Source organism: Homo sapiens, chromosome 3, assembly GCF_000001405.40.
Source record: "Homo sapiens chromosome 3, GRCh38.p14 Primary Assembly".
NCBI classification, from domain to species: Eukaryota; Metazoa; Chordata; class Mammalia; order Primates; family Hominidae; genus Homo; species Homo sapiens.
In genome coordinates this window covers 122,357,127-122,383,585 of record NC_000003.12, presented here as the reverse complement: position 1 = coordinate 122,383,585, position 26,459 = coordinate 122,357,127, and the positions used below count along the sequence as shown (strand labels likewise).

General features: G+C 39.3%; 1 protein-coding gene across 8 annotated transcripts, besides 3 other annotated features; it reads left to right on the top strand.

Annotated features, from left to right (window-relative positions):
• Positions 1–354: 354 nt before the first annotated feature.
• On the top strand, positions 355–23,995 carry MIX23 (mitochondrial matrix import factor 23). Of its 8 annotated transcripts, none has more exons than XM_047447427.1 (6): positions 355–412; positions 10,564–10,603; positions 11,786–11,911; positions 15,264–15,410; positions 20,559–20,618; positions 23,667–23,995. In XM_047447427.1, the coding sequence occupies exons 2-6, from the start codon at positions 10,583–10,585 to the stop codon at positions 23,715–23,717; spliced, it is 405 nt and encodes a 134-aa protein (XP_047303383.1). In that variant the 5' UTR covers positions 355–412; positions 10,564–10,582; the 3' UTR covers positions 23,718–23,995. The 8 variants fall into 8 exon arrangements, with proteins under 8 accessions (XP_047303383.1, XP_047303381.1, NP_001017928.1 ...); XM_047447425.1 differs by lacking the exon at positions 23,667–23,995 and adding an exon at positions 18,120–18,250 and having other exon boundaries at positions 20,559–20,623; NM_001017928.4 differs by lacking the exon at positions 10,564–10,603.
• Positions 17,798–17,942: an enhancer, noted in NCBI's record as "145 bp enhancer 1/2 fragment used in the MPRA reporter construct; PK_construct_1761". NCBI's record gives its function as "activates an SV40 promoter by MPRA in HepG2 cells {active_cell/tissue: HepG2}" and the evidence as "EXISTENCE:reporter gene assay evidence [ECO:0000049][PMID:23512712]".
• Positions 17,864–17,877: a transcriptional cis regulatory region, noted in NCBI's record as "HNF4 motif; enhancer activity is reduced when this motif is scrambled". NCBI's record gives its function as "necessary for full MPRA enhancer 1/2 activity {active_cell/tissue: HepG2}" and the evidence as "EXISTENCE:site-directed mutagenesis evidence [ECO:0005528][PMID:23512712]".
• Positions 24,977–25,177: a silencer, noted in NCBI's record as "peak4796 fragment used in MPRA reporter construct". NCBI's record gives its function as "represses an SCP1 promoter by STARR-seq MPRAs in K562 erythroleukemia cells {active_cell/tissue: K562}" and the evidence as "EXISTENCE:reporter gene assay evidence [ECO:0000049][PMID:32103011]".

Below are 26,459 nucleotides of genomic sequence, written 5' to 3'. Positions count from 1 at the left end.
AGGCACTGGAGTGAGAGGTATTAGAAAGGCCTCACTTGCCTAGATTTCCTTCAACGACCTGGTAGGGGAACCACAAGGAAATTGTTTCCCTTTTGTGAAAAGATGGGATTGGAGTAAACAGTCCCTTCAAGGTCTGACAATCTTTGATCCATGTATCTGGCCCAGTTCCAGGAGGACATGTTAAAAGGGTTGGGACAGCAGGGTGACAGGTTCCGAGGTGGATGCGGACCACGTTGAACTCAAGCCTTGCACTCAGCTTTCCTAAGGATTCCCCTCGTACTATATTTTTTGTCAGGCGACTCCGCGGTCACCTTTGCTCCGCGGTGATTGGCCTGCAGCGGGGTCCTCGTGTTTGTCCAATATGGCGGCGCCCAGTGGCGGTGTGAACTGTGAGGAGTTCGCCGAGTTCCAGGTGATGGGGTTTTCCTCATGTGGCAGGCATGTGCCTCCTTTTGTCCCCAGACCCTATTCCCTGCTTTGCGAGGGAGTATGAACCAGCTTTGGAAAAAGCGGGCAATTCAAAGCTCTTTTCTCGAGCCATTGGAGGTCATGGGGGGCGCGGGTTTGGCCTTAGGGAGCGAGGCTGCTCTGTAGGAGGAGGGAGGAGGGGGGTCATAGTTCTCTCCGCGGCTCTCCGGCCTTGTCTGGGAAGCTCTGGGTAATCTGCTGTGGTAAAGCTCGGGATGCGTGGATAAGGATTGTAACAATCTTGTAGCAGTTCCCTGAACTCAGTTTCCAGCTTCTGCCATTCCTCTCCTACTTTTGTAAGTAGAGTTTTTGTGGGAGAGAAGAAGGTGCAGAAGAGCTATTTAGTTGATAAAACATACTTGGTGCAATTTACTATTTTTGTGGGACAGGACGTATGGAAGCTTGGAGGGAGGATTAATTATAGTACCTGCTCTAGTGTCATTGCCCATTAGAGAAGATGTAATATTTAGAGGTTTTGCCTTTTTATGTTCAAATATCAGAGACCTAGGGCTAATTATTAACACCTGAATGCAAGAATAGGGATCTGGTTTTGACCAAGTTGCCATTAAAGTTATCTGTTCCAATTCAGTCATAAATGTGCTTCTGTTTAGTTACAAAGTTGAATTCCAAAATCATGATCTTAAATATGTATTGCATTATTAACTAACCCAAGATACTGAAAAATTGACCTATCTGTAGTAAGCTTTGTACTTTGAACGGTTTGAAGGTAGTGGTATTCTTGAATACTGCCTCAGCCTCCCTGTAGCTAGGACTACAGGCACGTGTCACCACGCCCGGGTAATTTTTTAAAAGAAATTTTGTAGCGAGAGTGTCTCACCAAATAATCCTCTTGCCTCGTCCTCCCAAAGTGTTGGGATTACAGGCGTGAGTCACCACGCCCGGCCTAAAGTGTTTAAAATTTTTGCAACTCTTATTTTTTCATTATAAAAATTAGATTTAGTACTTCTGTAAAATATCCTATTTCCAAATTGAAATAAAATCCAGAAAAGAGTGTTTAAAATCGAGTGCCTAGAATCCCATTTTAGCATGCATTCAAGAATTTATTAGATACTGTATTAGTCCGCTAGGGCTGCCATAACAAAATACCACAGACTAGGTGGCTTAAACAATAGAGATTTATTTTTTCACAGTTCTGGAGACTAGAAGTCCAAGATTAAGCTGCCATCAGTTTCTAGGCTATACAGTTTGATTTAAGGGGGGAAAAAGAGTGCCATCAGAATTAGTTATAGTAAGGCTTCTCTTCCTGGCTTGTAAATGGCTGCTTTCTCACCATGTCTTCTCTATGTCACTATCTCTTCTCTGTGCCTGCACCTGGAAGGAGAAGGATCTCTGCTATCTCTTCCTCCTCTTCTTTTTTTTTTTTTTTTTATTTTTTTTTTGAGACAGAGTCTCGCTCTATCCCCCAGGCTGGAGTGCAGTGGCACAATCTTGGCTCACTCCAACCTCCACCTCCCGAGTTCAAGCGATTCTCCTCCTGAGTAGCTGGGATTATAGGCGCCTACCACCGTGCCCGGTTAATTTTTGTATTTTTAGTAGAGATGGGGTTTCACCATGTTGACCAGGCTGGTTCCAAACTCCAGACCTCAGGTGATCCGCACCCCTTTCAGCCTTCCGAAATGCTGGGATTACAGGCGTGAGCCATGGCGCCCAGCCTATCTCTTCCTCTTCTTATAGGGACATCAGTTCTATCGGATTAGGGCCCACCCTTATGACCTCTGTTTAACCTTTATTACATACCTCAAGGCCCTATCTCCAGATACAGTCATGTTGGGGATTAGGGATTCATGAATTTTGGGGACACACAATTCAACCCGTAACAGATACCTACTAGTCTCCTGGCACTTGCGAAACCCAGTGGATGGAGTATAAAACAAGGAACGTAATCTAAGTAGGGCTATAAAATGTAGAAAATATTGGGAAGAAAAAAGAATAAAATGCTGAAAGAATTTAGAGAGTTGGGCCTTAGGCAGGCAGGGACTAGGGGTATTCTAGGCAGAGGCAATAGGATAATAGACAAAAAAGTTTTATGTATTTAAAGGAAATAGAAAATCAGTATTGCTAGAACACATTATTCATACAGGGGCACATTGGGATTACACAAGATTGCAACCAGATTTGTGGAAAGCCTTGTGTGTCACGTGTGAGTTAGGGAGTCCTTTTTGGGCAGAGGGGTGAGATGATCGAAGAGGTGCTTTAGGAAGATTCATCACTACTGCCAGTGGCTTTGTTTAGGCCCGTATCATTTTTGAAACTAGCTTTGCAACAGGCCTTCCTATCTTCTGGCACTTTTTTTCTCTACTATATTCCCCCTTCAATCTAATCTCCATAATACTGTGGCATATGCTATTATATTCTGAATTTTATAATCTAAGCTATGCTTTTGAGTTTTGGGTTCATATGACTAGATATAAACTTCTTAACATGGCATATAAGACCTTTTAAAATCCAATCCCAAAGTGCCTCTTGTCATGTCTCTTATTATTGTCCTCATACGTGTCTCTTTCATCATACCCACCCCCCAGCACTTCAACATGCATGTTTAAATATTAGTATTTCTATTAGGAATATTCATTGACACATAAGTGATTTTTGAATCACATTGTAATTAGGTACTAAATAGGTTATTTTCTAGCATCAATGATGGTTTCTTTTATGCTTACAGGGCTGCTTTCTATTCCTGTCCTGGGGATGCTGGGTGTTAGAGGACTCTGGCAGTTGTAGACAAGTTTGTGTTTCTGGTTTGGGGGAAGCACCGTGGGAGCTTTGATGTAAAAATAGAGTTTGAGGAACCAGATCTGTCTGAAAAGAGCATCATGTAAAAGGGACTTTGATGTCAAGTACCAATGACATTACTTCTGGGTACCATCAGGCAAAGGGAGAGGAGAGGAAAGGTTAAGGGAGTTCCATATCATTCTTTGGAGTACAGTGTATTTTAGTTATATAATGGCCCCTTTCCTACTCCTCACCCCTATGTACCCTAAAAAATATGTAGAATTATAAAATAACTTTACCTGAGAATGAATCTTAGGAATAGACTATAGTATAATTGTAGGGGCAACAGAAAGTTTTCTCTACCCCTTCCCACTACTAAATATAGGCACTCCTTCAATACCTAAATTGCCTTCCAAGAGGATGAGATTTTTACCCCACCAATTACAGAGAAGACATAAAATGCATTCCAAGAAAAACGCCTGCATAATTTCAGAGTCAGCCTACAATGAGAGGTTCATGATATATCAGATCTCTTCTTGTTTTGAGGAGGATGAAAGATAGAAGAAGCTGGGAGTACTACAGAATTTATAAAGTTATCTTTGGCTGTGATTTAATGTTTAGAAGCTCATGAGGGTTCTACACAAGATGCAGCCTTCAGAGAACCATTGAACTGTGTGTATTTCTGTGTTATTTCTGTGGACAGGTGTTGCAGTTTATTGTGTATAATGTCTGTTCTGTTCAGGGGTGTCTTCTATGTATTTTCTTGGTGAATTTCTGGACAGGAGTGTATGCCATTGGGGCTAAGCCTCCGGTAGGTAGTCAGTAATTCCTTATGGATGATCCACATAATTCAATGGCAGCATTTTTGTGCCTTCATTCACCTTCGTTTGCTCACAATGTGTGAGGGCAGCCCGAACTTTTGCCTAGAACCTCTTGGAGTTGCCTTAACAGCTTTGGCACTTTTTTCCCTGTGAAGAAATGTGAGCCTGGTGAGACGGTTTACAGTTCTTTTCCTTCTCCCTTTTCAATTTTGAAAGAAATCACTTCCTGTCTCATTACACCACAAAAACACTGAGGGGCTACTATGTTGGACAGAACATTCACTGTTCTCAACAGGTTCCTATAAATAAAATTCGAATCTCCTTCTTTTCATAGCTGAAATGATTGACTAAATGGCATGCCTCTACTACTTCATCACCCACACTTTATTTCGCTACAATGTTTCCTTCCCCAATCATTTTACCTCCCTTTTTTTCTTTCTCTTTAGCTTTTCTGGTATCTCTTCTGTGACATTTAAGAATGGCATACAGTTTTCAGCAATTCCTGAACAAGTACATTATCAGTTTAGGGGTTGTCATTATATTTTCTAGAATATAGCACTGTCCAGTAGGACTTTCTGTGATGGTGGGAATGTTTTGCATTTATGCTATCTCCATATGATAGCCACTAGCAACAGGTGGCTCTTGAATACTTGAAATGTGACTAGTGCAATTAAGGAACTAAATTTTAAATTGCATTTAATTTTAATTTAAATAATCTCACATGGCTAATGTCTGCCATGTTAAAGGCAAGCTCTAGATCATATATTGATAATTCTCTAGTACACACAGAAAAATTGATACAGAGTCATGCTCCACATAATGATGTTTCAGTCAGTGACTGACTACATATACAACGGTGGTCCCATGAGATTATAACACCATATTTTTACTGCACCTTTTCCATATGTAGATATATTTAGATACACAAGTATCACTGTGTTACAGTTGCCCACAGCATTCAGTACAGTAACCTGCTGTATAGGTTTGTAGCCTAAAAGCAATCATCTATACTATATAGCCTAAGTGTGTAAGTAGGCCATACCATCTAGGTTTGTGTAAGTACACTCTATGATGTTCACACAACAGAATCACCCAATGACACATTTCTCAGAATGTTTCCTTGTCATTAAGCACTACATGACTATTTGATAATCCATAGGTTCCACTGGTAATACAATAAAATTGATGGACTCATTACATAGTTAATGTGGATAGATTCCCATTGCTATGTAAGGAATTTAGTAGTATGTCCAAATTGTTTTATTGGAGATGAATCGGGCTAAAGTGTTCAAACTCAAAACTGGTTAAAGTTCAGAGTCAACACAAACCCCAGGAAATGTCAAACGATGTAATCTTTCACGTGGATTGCTGCAGTCGTCTAACTGATCTTTTGACACCTACTCTAGTTCCTCTGCAGTCCACTTTAATCTAAGCAGTCATTTTAGAACACAGATCTGATCATGTAACCTTAATCACAACAGAAAACACATGTTTGGTTCCCTGTGGGTCTCAGAAAAGACTAAAATCCTATCATATGACCTCTAATAATGGACCTCATGTTACACCATGTTTTATCTTTCTCTGTGTACTTAAGCCACATTACCTTTTCAGTCCATTAAACACTCTATTTATATGGCTCTCTTTAAGGTCACCCTTGATTTCCATCCTGCTAAGTTTAAAAGTTTAATTTCTGTTCATATAATCATTTATTCATTTAAAATTTTTTTGAGACATAGTCACCAAGGCTGGAGGGCAGTGGCACATCATAGGTAACCGTAACCTTGAACTCCTGGGCTCAAGTGATCCTTCTGCCCCAGCATCCCAAGTAGCTAGGACTGTAGGCACATGCCACCATGCTTGGCTAAATTTTTTACTTTTGTTGAGACAGAGTCTTACTGTGTTGCCCAGGCTGGTCTTGAACTCCTAGCCGTAAGCAGTCCTCCCGCCTGAATCTGCCAAAGAGCTGGGATTACAGATGTGAGCTACCACACCTGGCCCCATATAATTCTTGAGTTAGTAACATTCAACACAAATGACCAATCCCTCCGTTAAACCTTTCTTCTGACTTCCGTGACATCACAGAATTTTTCCTTTACTTTTAGATGTAAGAATTCCTTAATCATTGGCCTCCTTCGCTTTCTACAGTCTCCTCCAGTGATCTCTTCTAGTTTCATGGTTTTAAAGAACATCAGTTTATTAATATAACTCCACCCCGATCAGTGTCAGACTGGCATACTCTACTTTCTATTCCACTCTTCTACTCAGATATCTAATAGGCATCTCAAACGTTAACAAGTCCAAAACAGAGCTTTGTTTTTTGTTTTTTGTTTTTTCTAATTTAAAAAATTTTAGATTTGGGGGTACATATACAGGTTTCTTTTCGGAGATGGAGTCTCGCTTTGTCACCCAGGCTGGAGTACAGTGGCGTGATCTCAGCCCACTGCAACCTCTGCGTGCTGGGTTCAAGCAATTCTCCTGCCTTAGCCTCCTAAGTAGCTGAGACTACAGGTGTGCGCCACCATGCGCGGCTAATTTTTTGTATTTTTGGTAAAGACGGGGTTTTGCCATGGCCAAACTGGTCTCAAACTCCTGACCTCGTGATCCACCCACCTCAGCCTCCCAAAGTGCTGGGATTACAGGTGTGAGCCACTGCACCTGCTTGATAGCCTTCTAATTTACCCATCACACAAATTATGAACATAGTACCCAACAGGTAATTTTTCACCCCCCACCTTCCTCCTTACCCTTGCCCTTTGGAGTCCCCAATGTCTATTCTTTCCATCTTTATGTCTATATGTACCCATTGTTTAGCTACCATTTATAAGCAAGCACATTTGGTATTTGATTTTCTGTTTTGAGTTATTTCACTTAATGGCCTCCAGCTCCATCCATGTTGCTGCAAAGGACATGATTTCATAATTTTTCTTCTTTTTTTGGAGACTTGGAGACAGAGTTTCGTTCTTGTTTCCCAGGCTGGAGTGCAATGGTGCAATCTTGGTTCACTGCAACCTCCACCTCCTGGGTTCAAGCTATTCTCCTGCCTCAGAGTCCCAAATAGTTAGGATTACAGGCACCTACCACCACACCCAGCTATTTTTTTGTATTTTTAGTAGAGATGGGGTTTCACCGTGTTGTCCAAGCTGGTCTTGAACTCCTGACCTCAGGTGATCCACCCACCTCAGCCTCCCAAAGTGCTGGATTACAGACGTGAGCCACCATGCCTGGATGATTTCATTCTTTTCTGTGGCTGCATGGTATTCTATATATATGTGTGTGTATACGTACACCATATTTTCTTTATCCAGTCAACTGTTGATGGACACTTAGCTTGCTGCTGTGAATAGTGCTGTGATCAACATATAAGTACAGGTGTCTTTTTTTTTTTTTTTTTTTTTTTGAGACGGAGTCTCTCTCTGCTGCCCAGGCAGGCTGGAATGCAGTGGCACGATCTCGGCTCACTGCAACCTCTGCCTCCCTTGTTCAAGTGATTTTCCTGCCTCAGCCTCCCCAAGTAGCTGGGATTACAGGTGCGCGCCACCATGCCAGTCTAATTTTTGTATTTTTAGTAGAGATGGGGTTTCACCATGTTGGTCAGGCTGATCTCGAACTCCTGACCTCATGATCCACCCACCTTGGCCTCCCAAAGTCAGGCGTGAGCCACTGCGCCCATCCTCTAGGTGTGTTTTTTATATAATGATTTATTTTCCTTTGGGTAAGTACCCAGTAGTGGGACTGCTGGGTCAAATGGTAGTTCTGTTGTTGGTTCTCTGAGAAGTCTCCACATATTCCATAGAGGTTGTACTAATTTACATTTCTGTCAACAGTGTATAAGCGTTCCCTTTTCTCTGCATGCTTACCAATATCTGTTGCCACAACAAAACTTTAAAAAAAAGTTTTATTATACAAGATTTTAAACATAACACAAAAGAAGGCTGTACCACAAACACTCATGTACCCATCCCCCAACTCCAACAACTAACTAATTCATGGCTACTCTTGTTTCATCTGTTCGCTACTACCACATATCCCACCCTAATCCGATCATTTTGAGGTCATCCCAAATACCATATCATTTTTTTCTGTAAAATTTCTGTCTATATCTCCAAAAGATTACAACTTTCTAACACCATACTATTGCCACATACAGACAATGAACAGTAATCACCAGATAGCCTGAGTCAGAATACAACTCTTGATGTTCCTACTCTTTCCAAGTCTCTTCCTTCCCCAGTCTCCCCCACCATAAGTTAATGGCACTTCCATACAATTAGATGCTTAGGCCCCAAGCCTGGAAGTCATGCTATTTTATTTTCTCGTCCCTGACCACCAATTCAGCAATTTCTGTTAGCTCTATCTTCAAAATATATCCTAAGTCCAACTACCTCTCCTTAATTCTACTGCTACCAGTTTTTTTGTTTGTTTGTTTGTTTTAGACAGAGTCTCGCTGTGTTGCCCAGGCTGGAGTGCAGTGGTGCAATCATGGCTCACCAGTGCCTCAACCTCCTCAGCTCAAGCAATCCTCCTACCTTGCCTCAGCCTCTCAAATTGCTGGGATTACAGGCATGAGCCACCACCCCCAGCCCAGATGTTCCTATCGTTGGTTCAATCATGTCATTTAGATTTTAGCGCAAATGTTACATCCTCAGAAAAGCCTTTTTTGATGTCTATCTGAAGTAGCCCCCAAGCACCACTCAGTCACTCTTCATCTCATCACCTTAGTTTGTTTTCTTTTTCATAGTACTTTTTAGTATCTGAGATTATCTTGTTTATAGGACACTTGTTTAATTTCTATCTCCCCCTTCAGGAATTTTGCTCTGTAAGAGCAAGGACCTCTTTTATTCGCTACTGTAGCCTTGATGTTTTGAATGGTGCCTGACACATGCTAGACATAGGACAGTTGGCCCTCCCATATCTATGGGTTTTACATCCATGGATTCAATCAACCGTGGATCGAAGATAGTTGAAAAAAAAGTTGCATCCATACTGAACATGTACAGACATTTTTCTTGTTATCATACCCTACACAATACAGTGTAACTAACACCTATTTACATAGCATTTATATTGTATTAGATATAAGTAATCTAGAGATTATTTAAAGTATATGGAAGGATGTGCATAGGTTATATACAAATATTGTGCCATTTTATATCAGGGACTTGAGCATCCTTGGATTTTGTTAACCATAGGAGGACCTGGAACCAAACCCCCATGGATACTAAGGGATGACAGTAATTATATGAAGAATGAGTTAATAAATAATGAGCTCTGTGATACTGTCTCTTACTGCTGCATTATTTAAAGACAAATATTGCTGAGGGCTTTCATAACCAAGGAAACCTCTATCCAAAAGGCACAACTTAACCCTTGGCCTCAGAAGATCAGTTCAGTTTAGATAGCGAAAAGGAAGGTTTTGAAAGAGAATTTAAAGAGGCTTTTTTTTTAAAAAAAAAAAAAAAAATAGGCCAGTCATAGGAGGTAAAGTGGCAAGGTAGGTCCCTGTCTTCTACTTACCTATTTTTTTTTTTGGACTTCCCAAATAGTACTGCCATCATTTGTTTGGAATTTACCACTTAAGCACAATACATATATCCTTCACTATGTGTGGTGGTTGCCCAATGAATGCATTGAGATTATTCCTTAAGAATTCCAGTTTACAGAGAATACTATTAAAAAAATAGAAAGATACAGGACGAGAAGATAATGAACTTGGTTTTAGACCTGATATTTGCTAGTGTTTTATTAGTCTGAATTATGAGCCTTCTGCAAGCCGTTTCACTTCTAGATTGAGGTATAGAAAAGGCCATTAAATTCACTAATTAAAAATTAGTGGAATGATAGAACAGAATCTAGACTACAGACTTAGATTGAATGGGCTAAATGGTTTATAATTGGAAACAACCTAAATGTTTGTTAATGAGAAAGTGGCCAAATGAGTTGTGCTTGAACAGGATAGAATACTTAAACGCAACTATTTAAAATATCTTCAGGGCTGGGTGCGGTGGCTTTTGCCTGTAATCCCAGCACTTTGGGAGGCTGAGGCCGGTGGATCGCTTGAGTCCAGGAGTTCAAGACCAGCCTGGGCCATGTGGTGAAACCCTCTCTCTACAAAAATATACAAAAAAATTAGCAAGGTGTATTGCACATGCCTGTGGTTGCAGCTATTTGAGGGGCTGAGGTGGGAGGATCACCTGAGCCCAGGAGGCAGAGGTTACAGTGAGCCAAGATCGCGCCACTGCACTCCAGCCTGAGCAACAGAGTGAGACCCTGTCTCAAAAAAAAAAAAACTTTCAAGACATTTCTAGCAACATTATATTATGCTCATAATATAATGTCTTGAAGCCAGATTTTAAAATGTTACATAGTACCTCAGTTGTATAAAAACATTAATAGGTATGTGTAGAAAAAAGACCAAAGGGACATATTAAAATGTTGATAATGGTTAACTATGGATGATTTTTATTTAAAGTTTTTTTCTAACTTTTCTAAAATGAAAGTAATAATAATAATAATTTTTATTTTAACAAATGGACGAGGAAAGAAAGGAGTTGGTTTCAGTCATGGATTTAAGTTTGGCAAAGGTAAGAAGTAGCATAGTATATTGAGGGAAAAAGAATCAAACGTTGCTTTTAATACATATTAATATTGAATATTAACTTGGATGTTTTCAATAATAAGTATATTCCTAGTATTATATAATTCTGTTTTATTTTCATTCGTTCTTTCTTTTTTTAAGAGACAGGGTCTTACTATTGCCCAGGCAGGAGTACAGTGGTGTGATCATAGCTCACTGCAGCCTTGTACTCCTGGGTTCAGTGATCTTCCTGCCCCAGCCTCCCAGGTAGCTAGGATTGTAGGCATGAGTCACCATGTCCGGCTAATTAAAAAAAATTTTTTTTTTGTAGAGACAGGGTCTCACTATGTCTGTCATTAAGGCTGGTCTCAAATTTCTGGGTTCAAGTGATACTCCTGCCTCAGCCTCCTAAAGTGTTGGGATTACAGGTGTGAGCCACCGTGCCCAGCCATTTTCTTGATGCTTTTTAAGTGGCTGTGTTTTGTTGTTGTTGTTGTTGTTCTTGTTCTTGTTTGAATATTTTGTAAATTTGAGAAACTAAAAAGAAAGAGAAAGATATACTGCCAGAAACTTCTCCCAGAGTTTAACTGAAGACGAGATGTAGCTGATGTCCAGCCTTTCTCTAGTGACAAGTGAAAAGAAGTACACTGATCATATGTGGGTAGGAGGGGTTGTGCTGTGTAGGTACTTACTACCAGTCTTTTTAAGTTCCCTGCCCTTTTGATATTATTTTTCTGTTGGTTTTTTTTTTTTTTTTTTTTTTTTGAGAGTTGGAGGCTTTCTGAGGTAAGATGGATCCTTGGAACATATGAGCTATGGTTACTAAGAAAAAATAAAAACTAGTAGTACACTTTATTGGCTGTATGCTGGAGGTGGAAGGAGCATACACTGTTTGCTAAACACCGTGCCAGCAAATGGGATTTCAACATGAGTAAAACAGTCTTAACCCTTAAGACAATCACATTTGAGCCAAGGAGGCAGAGTTGGTGCCCACTGTTAGGATTACCATTACTTAACCTACCTATTGTCCTTGAACATTTTCTTATGGTTGCATGTATTTGGCTTGGTTTCCTCACTCCTGACTTAAAGGATTGTAAAATATCCAAGAGCTTTATTTTTTACTTAAATGCTTATTTTTTGTCACTAACTTTCCATTTGGGTTATATTCTTTTATTTTAAATACATATAGGAATTACTCAAGGTGATGAGGACAATTGATGACAGAATAGTACATGAATTAAACACTACGGTTCCAACAGCTTCCTTTGCAGGGAAAATTGATGCCAGCCAAACCTGTAAACAACTTTATGAGTCTGTAAGTGTATTTTTTGAGTCTTTTGCTTCTTTCATGCCTTTCTTTGCAGGCTGAATAAGAAATCAGTTATCTTGTAACTCGACTGTGACTAAAGGAATGACATCTTTTCTTTGCCTATACCTGATGGTGTATATAAGTTTTGATCTGGTTACTACACATTAAAGAAAATGTGTGACCTTACGCTTGTGAAATCTTACCAAACCTGGGAAGAAATGGTTCTAAAGAATGGGAGCAGTTGTTTTGTAGCCTTTAACTTAAGGAGACCTTATGTACAAAGGAATGAAAGGAGGAGAGTGAAACAGTGAAGTAAAACAGTAACAAGAGCAAGGAATGTGAGCACGTCAGTCCTAAAAAGCCAGGCAGCTGGTACAAGGAAGAATTAAAACCCTTCACACCTTTAAACCTTCTTTTTCTCACTCCTCAGGAAGGGGAATAGAAGCATTTGGCAACTGGGAGAGAAGGAAAGCCAGTGGATCAGTTGTCCTTTCCTGAGGCTTTGGTTTCTCAAGTATACATTTTTCATTGCCCCCCTTTATTTCTCTTTTTTAGTCTCCAAAAGCAGAAGGAAATAATGATGCAGCAAAATCTTTTTTATAGTTTATTTACCTATATTCTTTTAGTAATTTGGAAGCTAAAGTTCAAATGACACTTGCTATTTTAAGCTCTACCACAAGGTTACTGTTTGGATTCATAGTCGTAAAGAAGGCATCCTTAAAACCTAAACTGCCTTTCTCAGATCAGTTTTGGACAAGCTTATCCATGTCAGTTAAATTCAGAGCATTAACTACTGATATTTTTGTTCTGTGTTAAAGTATGTTATTTTAAATGAGCAGGTAAGTCTTCTTTGAGAAAATCATAAGATTGTGGACTTTAATGAGTAGAATTCAGTATTGGGAGTCGACAGGATGGGACCTAGTCCTAATTGGCTATGAGGTTGTTTGACAGTTCACTTTCTTTGGGTACCTCTGTCTGAAGAACTAGAATTTATGGTCACTTTGGTGATACTCCCTCTCTCACCTCACTACTCATATAATCTCCATAATCTATAAAATTGTTTCCATTTACAATCTTCCTATTAACCTAGACGTTTATAGTGTAGTGATTAACAATATGGACTCTAGATCTAGATTAATCTCACATCTGCTACCTCCTAGCTGGGTAACCTTGATTATGTCACATAACCTCTGCCTCAGTTTTTTTTTTTTTTTTTTTTTTTTTGAGACAGTGTCTCACTTTGTCACCCAGGCTGGAGTACAGTGGCAGAATCTCAGCTCAGTGCAGCCTCCACCTCCTGGGTTCAAATGATTCTTGCACCTCAGCCTCCCAAGTAGCTGGGACTACAGGCACACGCTACCATGCCTGGCTGATTTTTTTTGTATTTTTTGGTAGAGATAGGGTTTTCACCCTGTTGGCCAGTCTGGTCTTGAACTGCTGACCTCAAGTGATCCACCCGCCTTGGCCTCCCAGAGTGCTGGGATTACAGGCGTGAGCCAACATGCCCGGCTGTCTGCCTCAGTTTTAATATTTGTAAAATAGTATAATAATGGTACCTAGTTCATAGAGTTGTTGGCGCATTGAATTATAAAGTGCTTACAGTACTAAGTGTTTTGTATACAAATATTGCTGGCCAGGTGCAGTGGCTCACACCTGTAATCCCAACACTTTGGGAGGCTGAGGTGAGAGGATCACTTGAGTCCAGGAGTTCAAGACAAGCCTGGGTGACATGGCGAAACCACATCTCCACAAAAAATACAAAAATTAGCTGGACGTAGTGGTGTGCGCCTATAGTCCCAGCTACCTGGGAGGCTAAGGCAGGAGGATTGCTTGAGCCCAGAAGGCAGAGGTTGCAGTGAGCCAAGATCACACCACCACAGTCCAGCCTGAGTGACAGAGCAAGACCCTGTCTCAAAAAAATGTTTGCTGCTACTGCTATCATTTTTTTTTTAACAGGCCCTGTGAGAATCACAAGTTGTTGTTTTTTATCTCCTTGTTGAATCAGGATAAGCTTGCATACTAAATTTAGAACTCTTCTGTTTTGGAAATCCTGTGTGTGTGTTTGAGTTTTTCTCTGTATCTATATCCTGGAAGGATTCAGCAACATGTATATCAAGTAAAGCTTAATTTTTCAAGTAGCTTTGTGCCAGGGATCGAGCCTGCAGCAGAGTGCCCATACCAATAAGCACCACTGAGTTCCCTTAAGTATTATGTCAGTCAAGAAGCAGAACTCTATGAAATATCCAAGTTGCTCATGTTCACCCTGACTTTAATCCCTGACCCAGCTTCCTTCTGTAGCTGAAGAAGGGATATTTGCCTTTTCAAATAACGCTTCTTCCTAGGAGTTGATCAGTAAGGTTATTATGAAGCACTCATTTTAGAAATTTCAAATCTCAAAAGTATACTCAAGGTAAAACTTGTAAATTTCAATGAGATCTTATTAGAGCATATTCCCTTCAATCTATGACATTTTTCTAGCTTTACATTGTTTATTCCCATGGTAAACATAAAAATCAATACTGAACAATAGAGTCTATGAACTTGAAACAATGTTTAACAAATGCAGATTTTGGGGTATTATCAAAATGTGGCTATGATTATGGAAGTATGTTTGAAACATGACCATGATACTTTAGAATCAAGATGGGAAATAAATGAGAAATGTTTTTATTAATTTGTTGCATTAAGATGGAGGTTATCAAGAGTTGTTCTGTCAGACATCCTTAATTTCAATAAGCACACACAATTGATGCAACCACTAATCTGTGCTTCATATATAAGTTTTCCTTATCAATACTTATATTTTATAATCTTGAAAAGGGCTCTGTCTTGCGAAGGTAAAGGTAGCATTCTTTGTTATTTATTGTAATGAAATCTTCTATACATGACTTAGTTTATAATTTCTTTCACTTGTTGACAATGTGAGACAGGAAAAAATATGAAAGGACAAAGAGAGGAAGAATAGCCGTTTAAGTGGCCAGGTGTGTGCGGGTGGTTGTAGAATAGAGGAACACATGAATGGAATCATGGGGAAAGTCAGTGGTGTAGGGCAGAGGAAACTGAAGTGAGAAAAGCCCAGCTTGGGGAATGCAGAAGGAAAGCTGAAGTCAATACCAGGAGCATATTGAGGAAGAGGACAGCCCCAGACCTCATACCTTCCACCCTCAGAGATGCTGCCAGTTATGTTTTTAGATGAGGTAGCTGATTCAACACAATCTTCTCTTTCATGGTTTCAGTCGTCAGAAATTGTTTTAGAAAGTATTGAATTTCTATAGTCTCAAGGATTTTTTTGAAAAACACTAAAATGTGATAAATTTATGCAGTTTTTTTTTCTCCTTTCATTCCTTTGTTCTTTTAGTTGATGGCAGCTCATGCCAGTAGAGACAGAGTCATAAAAAACTGTATAGCCCAGACTTCAGCAGTAGTAAAAAACCTCCGAGAAGAGAGAGAAAAGAATTTGGACGATTTAACGTTATTAAAACAACTTAGAAAAGAGCAGACAAAGGTAAGTTGAACAGAATTAACATTTCTCAGGCAAAGTTTTTCCAATTGTAGCCTTCAAAGTAAGATTTTTAATATGAAAATTTTGGCATATAATATGGCAGTTACTTAAAAAAATGATCAAGAGATTAGTGCTTCATTTTTAGTGAGCTTTATTTTATTATGTTTAGTTATTAATTGGTAAATTAATGTGCACTTCTTGAACAAATGCAGCATAGCAGCTTTGTCTAAAATAAGCACAGTCATAATTTATTTTCATTTCTTTGTTTCTTTCCCACTATTAAAGACAAGGGATCACTACAGGTGAAGTACCACATCAGAAATTCTGGGGAAATCACATCTGTACAGTATCTGCCTTTTGAGACATAACCTGAGAAAAACATCTCTAATATATTTTGGAAATAGCTCCAGTTTCATTGTGTAGAAATCTGCTGAAATGTAATATAGACTATTTAACTTCAGGATATTACCCTCGTTAGCCATAAAAATATAGTATGATTTAAATATAACCAGATTTACTTGTACCTCATTATAATTTATTTCCCTACTGTGTAAAAGTTGCTAGGGATCTTTGGCTTTTTCTTGGACATGACTTTTTCCCATTTCCTCCCCTATCCCTGCAGTGTTTTTACTTTTAAGAAAATAGCAAGTACCTACCTAGGGATGTGTCAGAGGAAGCCTTATTTTCCCAAATCAACTATAATGTAGATAGGGTGTAGACTTCAGAATACAGTTAATGCAGCAGAACTGTTTCTTTACAGCACTTGTATGTGACGTGTCAAGGAAACAATAGAAAAATACAGCATATTTTATTATGTGGGATTTATTGCTGTCTTTCTTTTGAGGGGACTCTTAGGGGGTAACTTTTTATCTTGTATAATTTCAAACTTACCAAAAAGTTGTAAGAATAGTGTAAGGAACTCCCATGTGCCCTTTACCTATATTCACTTATTGTTTATATGTTGCCCCACCTGCTTTACAGTTCATTCTCTTCACCCTCCCTCTCTCCTTCTCTTCACCCTCCCTCTCTCCTTCTCTTCATCCTTCCCTGCCTTCCTCCCTCTCCCTGTCTCCCCACACACCTGTATGCATAAATACAGTTTTTTCATGAACCATTTTGAGACTATGTTATACACATTGTACCACTTTACCCTTAAACTCATTAGTTATTTCTAAGAACAGGGACTTTTCCTACAGGACCAGTGTACAATTATCAAAATCATGGTTTTTTTTTTGTTTTTTGAGATGGGGTCTCACTCTGTCACCTAGGCTGGAGTGCAGTGTTGCAATCTCAGCTTACTGCAACCTCTGGTTCTGGGGCTCAAGCAATCCTGCCTCAGCCTCCCCAGTAGCTGGGACTACGGGCGCGAACCACCACACCCAGCTTATTTTTTGTATTTTGGGTAGAGATGGAGTCTCACCATGTTACACGGGTTTATCTCAAACTCCTGAGCTCAAAGTGATCCACCTTCCTCAGCCTCCCAAAGTGCTAGGATTATAGGTGTGAGCCATCACACCTGACTTCATGTTTGTATTTTAAGATGGCATAATAGGTGACTTACGGATCCTTGTGGGATTGAGTCATGCTTTTCATACTGCACAGTCATGAAGTTTGCCCTTTGTTTAGTAGATGTAGCTGAACTTTGAAAAGGGGACCTCGTCATCTATTGAAAACTATTAGTAGAAAAGAAAAGAAACCTCTTTCCTTGTAGCTGGCTGCACACAAGGTGAGTAGGCCAGGCTGCTGCACTTTTTCGATCATTCCGCCAATTCTGGATGTCTCACTGGATCCAGGACTCAGCCACTGTCTTTGCTGCTCTCTTTGTTCATGACTACTGCGTCAGGTCTGTATTCCATACCTGCTCATGCCACAGGCACTGGTGGATCCCTTGGACAGTGACCTTATGCAGTGATGTTGATCTTACTCCCCTTGCTGTTCATGAAGGCATATAGATTATTTATTTATTTATTTATTTATTTATTTATTTATTTATTTATTTTTGAGATGGAGTCTCGCACTATCGCCTGGGCTGGAGTGCAGTGGTGCAATCTTGGCTCACTGAAACTTCCGCCTCCCAGGTTCAAGAGATTCTCCTGCCTCAGCCTCCCTAGTAGCTGGGGTTACAGGTGCCTGCCACCACGTCCAGCTAATTTTTTTTTGTATTTTTAGTAGAGACAGGGTTTCACCATGTTGGCCAGACTGGTCTCGAACTCCTGACCTTGTGATCTGCCCGTCTCAGCTTCCCAAAGTGCTGGGATTACAGGCATGAGCCACCGTGTCCAGCCGGCATATAGATAATTTATATAAAACTGGTGAAAGTCTAGTAATTTTGGAGTTTGTATTTCAACGCCCTTGAAGGTGTTGACAAAGGAAACTGCAGGGCAAAGGCTGTTAAATTGGAAACTGAAAAGTCACTGTTTGCAGATCAAGTCAAACAACAGAGTGACTCATTAGTGGAGAGCAAAGTTCAAAACTCTACTGAGTGTTTGGGAATGATTGTGACACACAATTTGCTCAGCCTTGAGATCTGCCCTTGTGTCTTTAGGGCCCAGATAGAATCACCAGGATGACCACTGCAAGGAGGGTTTAGAAACCAATCAGTGAGTTGCATGAGGTTTGCTTTCTAGCTTGATAACATATAGGGTTGGGGGTAACCATGGGGTAGTACATAAGCAAATAAGGAAATGTGAATTTTTTTTTTCAATTTTCAAGTTTGCTATGAAGATTATGGAATCAGAGAGAGCTCTTGGAGATGGTACAGCTCTACCTCTTCATTTTCTATCTGAGGAAAAAGACTCAGAGATACTTGAGATACTAACTGACACCCCCAAAGCCACAAGCTAGTAAGTGGTAGAACTGGGACTTTAACCCATCTCTTCTGACCCTGCATTCAGTCAGTTTCTTTAAGTTGTGACTAATAGTCAGATACTTTAGTGAGTATATTTCATTTATAGACAGATGCCAGTCAAAAAATCCCCACTAGTTTACCTGAATATTTAACTCAAAAAAAGCACCTTCGTTGCTGGACCTCTATAACTGCTGTCACATGTTAGTGGCCTTAAGTTTACCTGTTGAAGACCTACAGTCTCAAAGACAACTGTCTCAAAGGTGACAGTTTGTTGGTAGCACTGATAAAATTGTATTAGAAATTGGCTGTAATATCTGCAATGTTGTAGAATTTTAAAAAATAATCCAAAGGCAGACAGCTCTGAGGAAATAAATCCCACCTACCTTGGTGGCTTTGTAACCTTGTGTATTAATTGTTCTGAAAAGTCTGATTTTGAATCTGTAAAATGGAGTTGATACCTAATAACTTCTTATTTCTGGGGGGCATGTGCGGGGAGGATTCAAGGATGTAAGTAAGAGCTAGCATATTGGCTGCTACAAAGTAGCAGTTTCTTTCCTTTATGAGTCTCTGGGACTCCATATTTGTTGCATTAATCTTCTTTGTCATATCACCAACCAGTGGTTTCTAGCTTTTGTTTCACTACTGCTTAAGGGCAGGGTGTTGTGACAGGGGAGGATTCCCTGTCTCAGTGTCAGGGTATTCTCTTTTGGACAGTTCTAATGTTCGAAGATTTTCATATTGTGAAATTCTGCTCCCATGATATATAAGTACTGCTTCTTAATCTTCTCTCTGGAGTTACCCAGGATAATTCTGAACCCTTTTCTACATAGTATCCCTTTAAATATTTGAGAGCAGTTTTGAAGACTATCTTAGTGACTTTCACACTGTTCTTCAACTGAAATTATTTCTTTGGCAGTCAGTCCAGGCTTTGTCAGAGAAGTGGAGCTTTAATGATTTTGGTCTGTATGGCTGATTAAAATGGGAACTTAGGTTGCATTGGTGGGCTTCTTCAGGCTTGTTACTACTGCACAGCACAGGACTAATTGTCAGAATGAGTCCTTCTCCTTGTTCCACAGTTCTAGCCATATGTACAGGCCTACGCTTTGACGCCAGTTCTGAATCTAAGAAGGGAGTTTGCAAGGAGCCATTGGATCTGTCCGAAGTTCCATTCTTATCGTTGTTGCCACAAATTTCTCAAACCTCCTGCCTGAACTGCGCTCCTGGTTGGCCAGGGTCTTTGGCCTAGGTGTCAGATTCATGCTTGCCCAGATCTTGTTGAGCTTTCTGACATTTTGTTCCCAAATCTGGCCTGGGTTCTTCACTTTGGCCTGAGGAAATCGTCCTGGTGTTAACCTCTTAGTTGGCATCAACCTATAGTTCATGCTTTTTTCTCCTCATTTTCCTGAATATTTTCAAGCCTTCTGCCTGGAACTAGCCAGCTTTTTCCCCTTCAAGTCCTCTAACAAAATGCTACTGGGAGTATGGTGAGTCCTGCTCTCAGGGCCTGGCAATGGAATTGGCTACTTTTCTGTTGGAGTAATTAGGTTGGCAGTTATAAAGAAAGCTAGAAAGACTTGGCATTTTTAGCCTGAGACCTCTGACTGTATGGTTAAGGTGTGAGGAAACGCATGCCTTTCTAGATCACTTCCATGTATATTCTCTTTCCTCCCTGAGGGTTTTTTTTCTTAATTCTCTATTCAGGTCAGGTTTGCACTTCCTTGTCCTTTTTTTCCTCTGTGCTATCTTTGCAAGTCTGTAGTTGTATGATCAATCTCTAGAACTGGAATCCCTGGGTTCAAGGACATGAGAATGTACATTTCCTATGATTCTTGCCAAATTGCCCTCCATAGATTTTGTAACAATTTATACTCTTACTAAGAATATATGAGTATATCTTTTCACGTACCTTCACTAATGTTAGGTTTTATCAAACTTATTCATTCTGCCATGTTATGGCTTAATTTGCATTTCTTTATACTGGAGTAAGATTGGCATTTTGTTATGTTTACTGGCCTTTTGTATGTCTTCTGTGAACTGACTGGCCTTGGGATATTTTTTTTTTAAAGCTCTCAAGGTGATTAGGATATGCAGCAAAGTTTGAGATTAGCAATTGATTAGATATGGGGAAAGCTGATTGTGTCAAAGAAGCTTCCAAACTCTGCCATTAACAGACAAAAATACTAGAGCAGTAGCAGGTTTTGTTGGGTAAACATGAGTGTGGTTTTAGCTCTTTAAATTTTATAACTTCAGTTTTTTTTCTTGCTCTTTAAATTTTATAACTTCAATTTTTTTTTTTCTTGCAGTTGAAATGGATGCAGTCAGAACTGAATGTTGAAGAAGTGGTAAATGACAGGAGCTGGAAGGTATAAAATAATGTTGGTGTTTGGAAAGAAGTAGGAGGGAAACTGAACTAGCAAAGGGAAACCAAGGGAGGGGGAGTAAAGAGTGCCTTGAGGCTGTAAGGAAAGTAGAGATCACTCGTTTACATTTACAATTGAGGATTGTAACCTTTTGGGGTTGGGGGGAGGGTAGGGAGAGCAGGATGCAGTTAGCATCTAATTAGAGCCATTTTATAACGATTAGCTTTACAGGGCCAGGCGAGGTGGCTCACACCTGTAATCCCAACACTTTGGGAGGCCAAGGTGGGTGGGTCACCTGAAGTCAGGTGTCTACTAAAAATACAAAAATTAGCGTGGTGGCATGAGCCTGTAATCCCAGCTACTCGGGAGGCTGAGGCAGGAGAATCGCTCGAACCCAGGAGGCAGAGGTTGGAGTGAGCTGAGATCAAGCCATTGCACTCCAGCCTGGGCAACAGAATGAGACTCCATCTCCAAAAAAAAAAACCAAAACAAAACAAAACAAAATTAGCTTTATAAGCATATGATAGAACTGAATGAGCTGCCATCATAACAGCATTAGAGACATTCTCTATGTCTCCTAACACTAATTACAGGCATGGTTGCTATTTAGAGTTACTACTCAGAACCTTCAAGGAGGCTATTTGTTCAAATTAGCCTTTTTGAGCTCAGTTACTTTCCGTAAGTTTTCCTATCATTAGGTAACCTATACGGTTGCTTGTCTTCTAACTTACCTGATCATAAAACTTGTTATTATATGTAGTTTTACTGGTATCTGATAAGGCTTTTTATTGCTCATAGATTTACAAGCTCCTTATTATCATTGCATAGTTCTTGTTAGGAACTAGATTAGGGGACCAGATCCCAGAAACATATAGTCAAAATTCATGAAACTCTGACTTTAGTTTTCTGAAAAAGTATATCCATTTACCCCTCTCTAAAACTCTAAAAGATTTACGAAGGGCAAAAATCTATTAAATCTGAGAAAATGTACTGAAAATTCTGTTTTATCATTTGAATTTAACTACTGGAATGTTGTTAAACTATATGCTTATAAGAGAGGTTAGCTGAACCAAAACCAGAATGTACCGGCTTGCTGAGACATGAACACATTGCAAAATACAAATTGGCTTTCTTTGCTTTATCACATTTCTCTATCTTATCCTCTTTGCCAAGGTTTCCTATTCCTGCCCTTTCCACCAACATGATAAGGTGTCTGTCACTTGAGAGGATTTGGCAATATTTCCCATTTATATTCTCTGGAAAAATAATATTTACTCTTGGGATTGGATGGGGAAGGGGTACAATGAAACATCTGGCTTGAAAAAACAAGTGCAGAAGTTTATGATATATGTAAAATGTAGTGGGAAGAGTGAACTATTTTGAATTTAATATTAGTTTTAAAGAAAATATGTTCTATCCACTCCACAGAAGATGAGGCCCCTACTTGTTTTAAAAAGAAGAAAATGTAGCCATGGTGCTCTGGTGCAGTGGGCCAGCAGAAGTGGATAGGAAATCATTTGGGAAAAGGATTTGGAGAAGCTCAGCCAAGTTGTATATATCACCCCAACCAGTGTGTCAAGGCCACTAAACTGAAGCCTCCCTCTTGTCTGATTGGGAATTTCAGGGAAATGTCAGGGCTGGAAATGGGTGAGATGAATTGTAAGACAAAAGGGCTAGACAGAGTCTATATAATTTCTACATATTTTCTATTAATTGTGAGATGCATATGCGAAAGATTATGTGACATGTAGAATTTAATGAATATTAATAAAATGAATATTCATGTATCTACCACTCAGCTTAAGAAATTGAATAATAGGTCAGGCGCAGCACTTTACTGGCTCACGCCTGTAATCCCAGCACTTTGGGAGGCCGAGGTGAGTGGGTCTCTTGAGGTCAGGAGTTCGATACCAGCCTGACCAACAGGGTGAAACCCCGTCTCTACTAAAAATACAAAAAATTAGCTGGGCATGGTGGCGGGTGCCTGTAGTCCCAGCTACTCGGGAGGCTGAGGCGGGAGAATTGCTTGAACCCAGGAGGTGGAGGTTTCAGTGAGCCGAGATCACGCCATTGCACTCCAGCCTGGGCGACAAGAGCGAAACTCCGTCTCAAAAAAATAAATAAATAAAAAGAAATAGAGTAACAGTACCTCACAACCTCTGTGTTTAGATTTTTCTTTTATTTTTATAATAGTCAATGGCAGCCAACATAGGTAGTTTGTTTTTTTTTAACCTAAAAAGTGATTTGTTCTTTACATTAATGATGTATGGGGGTAAATTCTGAGAAAAAATTCTTTTCAATTTCAGAATTGTTATAATTGGACACTTAAAATTTTTGACATGATTTAAATTTTTTTAATATTAAAAATGTTTTAAAAATTTTAAAAATAGTAATATACAGTAAAAATTCTGCCTTCTGTCCCTCTCCTTCAGCTACCTCCTACTTTCCCTTCCCTCTGAAAGATGGTATATGCTTTCAGATACTCAAACCTTTTCTAATTTTATGTGTGTGTGTATTTTTCTACCTTTGTTACACAAGTGAAACTGTACTATTCACACTTTTTTTTCCCTTGATAATCTTGGAGATCTTTTTAAATCAGAACATAAATTATTTTTAACCTTGCATGTATTCCATTGAATAACCATACCAAATTTTTATTTAACACAGTTCCATGTGGACATTTAGTTATTGAGCATTCTTTATTTAACTTATTTTAGATATTTTTGTGTTGTTGTTTAAAAAATGTCCAGAATATGAAATTGAAATGTTTGCTAGTAACTAAATTACCTGGCTCTTGATGATTTTTTCCCGAAGTAACTTAAATTTTATTAAAATACTAGAATTGTCTTGTAAATGGATGTCAAGGCCTTCTGTGCATTTGGCACCTCATAAGTCAGTTTGAACTGCTGAGGAAACTCTTCTGTTTCCTAAATCTGTTGACTTAGGACAAAAATGGTAATAGCCTTTTGGAGCCTACTAAATTGAATTTAGTTCCAGGCCTGATTTACGCAGGATAACTCAATGACTTTTGTTTCTGTTTCAATATTTTAGGTGTTTAATGAACGCTGCCGAATTCACTTCAAGCCTCCAAAGAATGAATAAAGAGAGATTCTTTTTTTTTTTTTTTTTTTTTTTTTTTTAAGGACTGGGTCATCTCATAAGAGCTAAGCATGACAGATATCAACAGGGCGGGCTTTCTAGGATGATTTCTGAGCCAACAGTCCAAGACCTTTTGTTGATTTCAGCCCCACTTAGCCAAGACCTCAAGTATAAATAATTCTGATAATTATGGAGAAATCAACTGCTATTTTATACTGATTCTGTAAAAAAAAAAAAAAAAAATTTTTGTAACTATTAAAATAATTTTCTGACTCAGTGTACATATTTATTTGATTGTTTTCTATGTTGAGACAGTTCTCTTTTTATTTATTTATTGAATTTTTAGTTTCTATTTTTTTAATATCCTGTCAGGTTGCAAGACAGTTCTCATAAGATAATTTGCATGCACTTTCAATATCTGATTTGTAGTGTATTTTTTAATTTTTATAAATTTATTGGCATGGATGTGGACCTTTTTGGTTATTGATAAGTTTATTCCTTGATTTATCTTTGTGGGTTGATTATAAAAGGGCAGTATTATAAGCTGGACAATGCCCAAAGAAGTTTTCTTTTAGTACCTTAACTGATCTTATTTTCAGATATAAAAACTAATTTTTGGTGGAATTCTTTCCTGGACAGTATTTCCATGGTCATGGAAAAGGAAAGCAGAAATTCAGGAAAGGGAAGAGCAGGGAAGAGCTTGCATGACAGCAAATGAGTTAGTAACAAACCTGCTGTAATTACAGGATTTGGTCCTTGCAAAAAAAACCACTTTCTAGTGTATGGAGTGGTTATGTTACTAGTTTTCTGTTGCTGCTTAACAAATTACCACAAACAGTATCTTACAGTTCTGTAGGCCAGATGGGCAGATTTGACTGGAATTTTTTTTGTTTAGGGTCTCAAAGCTGAAATCAAGCTGAGTCCCAGGCTGGGCTTTGGTCTGGAGTCTAGGGGAAGAGTCTGCTGCTAAGCTCATTGAGTTGCCAGATTGTTGCATCGTGGTCCTGAGGTCCCCATTTCCTTGCTGACTGTCAGGTACCACTCTCAGCTCCAGGAAGCTACCCACATTTCTTGACACATGGCTCCTTCCATCTTTAAGCTGGGCGTGGTGCATTCAGTTCTTCTCATACTTGGAATCTATCTGACTTCCCTTTCTGCTACAAACCAGACAAAATGATTTTAAAGGGCTTGTGTGATTAGGCCTACCACATCTTTTTGCTTGACTCAAAGTCAACTGATGAGAATCATAATTACATCTGTAAATCTCTTGCCAGATTATGTAATAACCACAGACACCAAGTTTCATGGTCTGAGGGATATCTTGGGGAGCCAATTTAGGACTCTGCCCACCACAGTGATTTAAACAAGCCACCTGGCTCTGGCCCAGTTAGATTAGCCAGCTGGGTCTCTGGTGGGCCTGTGTACATTGACCACCATCAGATTATGCATTTGGAAATGAGTGATAAAGATATAAAGTGCCCACCATTCTTTCAACAAAACGTAGAGCACTTACTGTAGGTCAGACACTTTTTGTGGAGATTATAATCTAGTCTCAACAAAAATTTCCTAGAGGTCTGCAGTAAAAAATGCCTTTATATATAAAGTTGAGTAAGTAATTTTTGGGTAGATAAGTGAGTTGAAAGGATGGATGCAAGAATAGAAAGACAAAGATCTCCCTGATTCTGCTGCTCAGGAGGGAATTCAGATCCTTGGAAAGGATTCATTAACAGTCTTTCCAGATTTTCAGGTCTGCCAAAATACCATCTAGCTAATCCAATTATGTTAGTAGAGTGCCTGAATCATTCCAGTGTAACATATGAAAAATGTGCAATGACGGCAGCATGGAGTGACAGTATAAATGAATAGGTTTAGTGTGATGAATGGCATTTAGAGCCTCAACTAATGAAGGAAGATGGATGACATTGCTTTTGAAAGTTGATTTGCCTGCTGGAAAAGGGTCCTGTGTGTAATTACTGCCTTAGAACAATTTGTTGATTTGCTTTTGTTGCCTGAAAGGTAGGATTCAGCAACTCACACACACAGAAAAGAAGTAGAAGGTGCGAAAATTCACAGATGAGTTTGGCCCTTCCTTGGCAGAACAGAAGACAGCCATACGAAGAAACACCTATGATGATACATTTGCAAATTCTTTTAACAAATATTTAAATGCCTTCCTGGGCACTATTAACCACTATTGTTGCATCACTCAGCAAAACAAAAATACCTGGTTTTAAAGAGCTTATATTTGGTGAAGGAAGACAGTAGTAAGTTATATGGTATGCTAAAATGTGATAAAGTTCTATGAAAAAAAATAGAGAAGGAAATCAGGAATGGGATGGAGAGTGGGTTGCAAATGACTGTTTTCAGCTGACTGGAAAATATAATGCCCTTGTCTTTGAAAAGTTGCTTTAACTTGAGATTGAAATGTACCAAGTAAGTGCAGTAATAAAAAGGGTGTTTTCTAATATGTCATTCTTTTATAAGTTGTTCTCCGAACTACATGTGGTGGTTCATGTCTGCAATCCCAGTACTTTGGGAGGCTGAGTCGGAAGGATCAAGAGCCCAGGAGTTCGAGACCAGCCCAGGCAACACAGTGAGACCCAGTCTCTTAAAAAAAATTTTTAAATGGTGCTTGTCTGTAGTTCCAGCTACTCATGAGGCTGAGACGGGAAGATCTCTTGAACCCAGGAGGTTGAGGCTCCAGTGAACTATGATTGTGCCACTGCCTTCCAGCCTTGGTGGCAG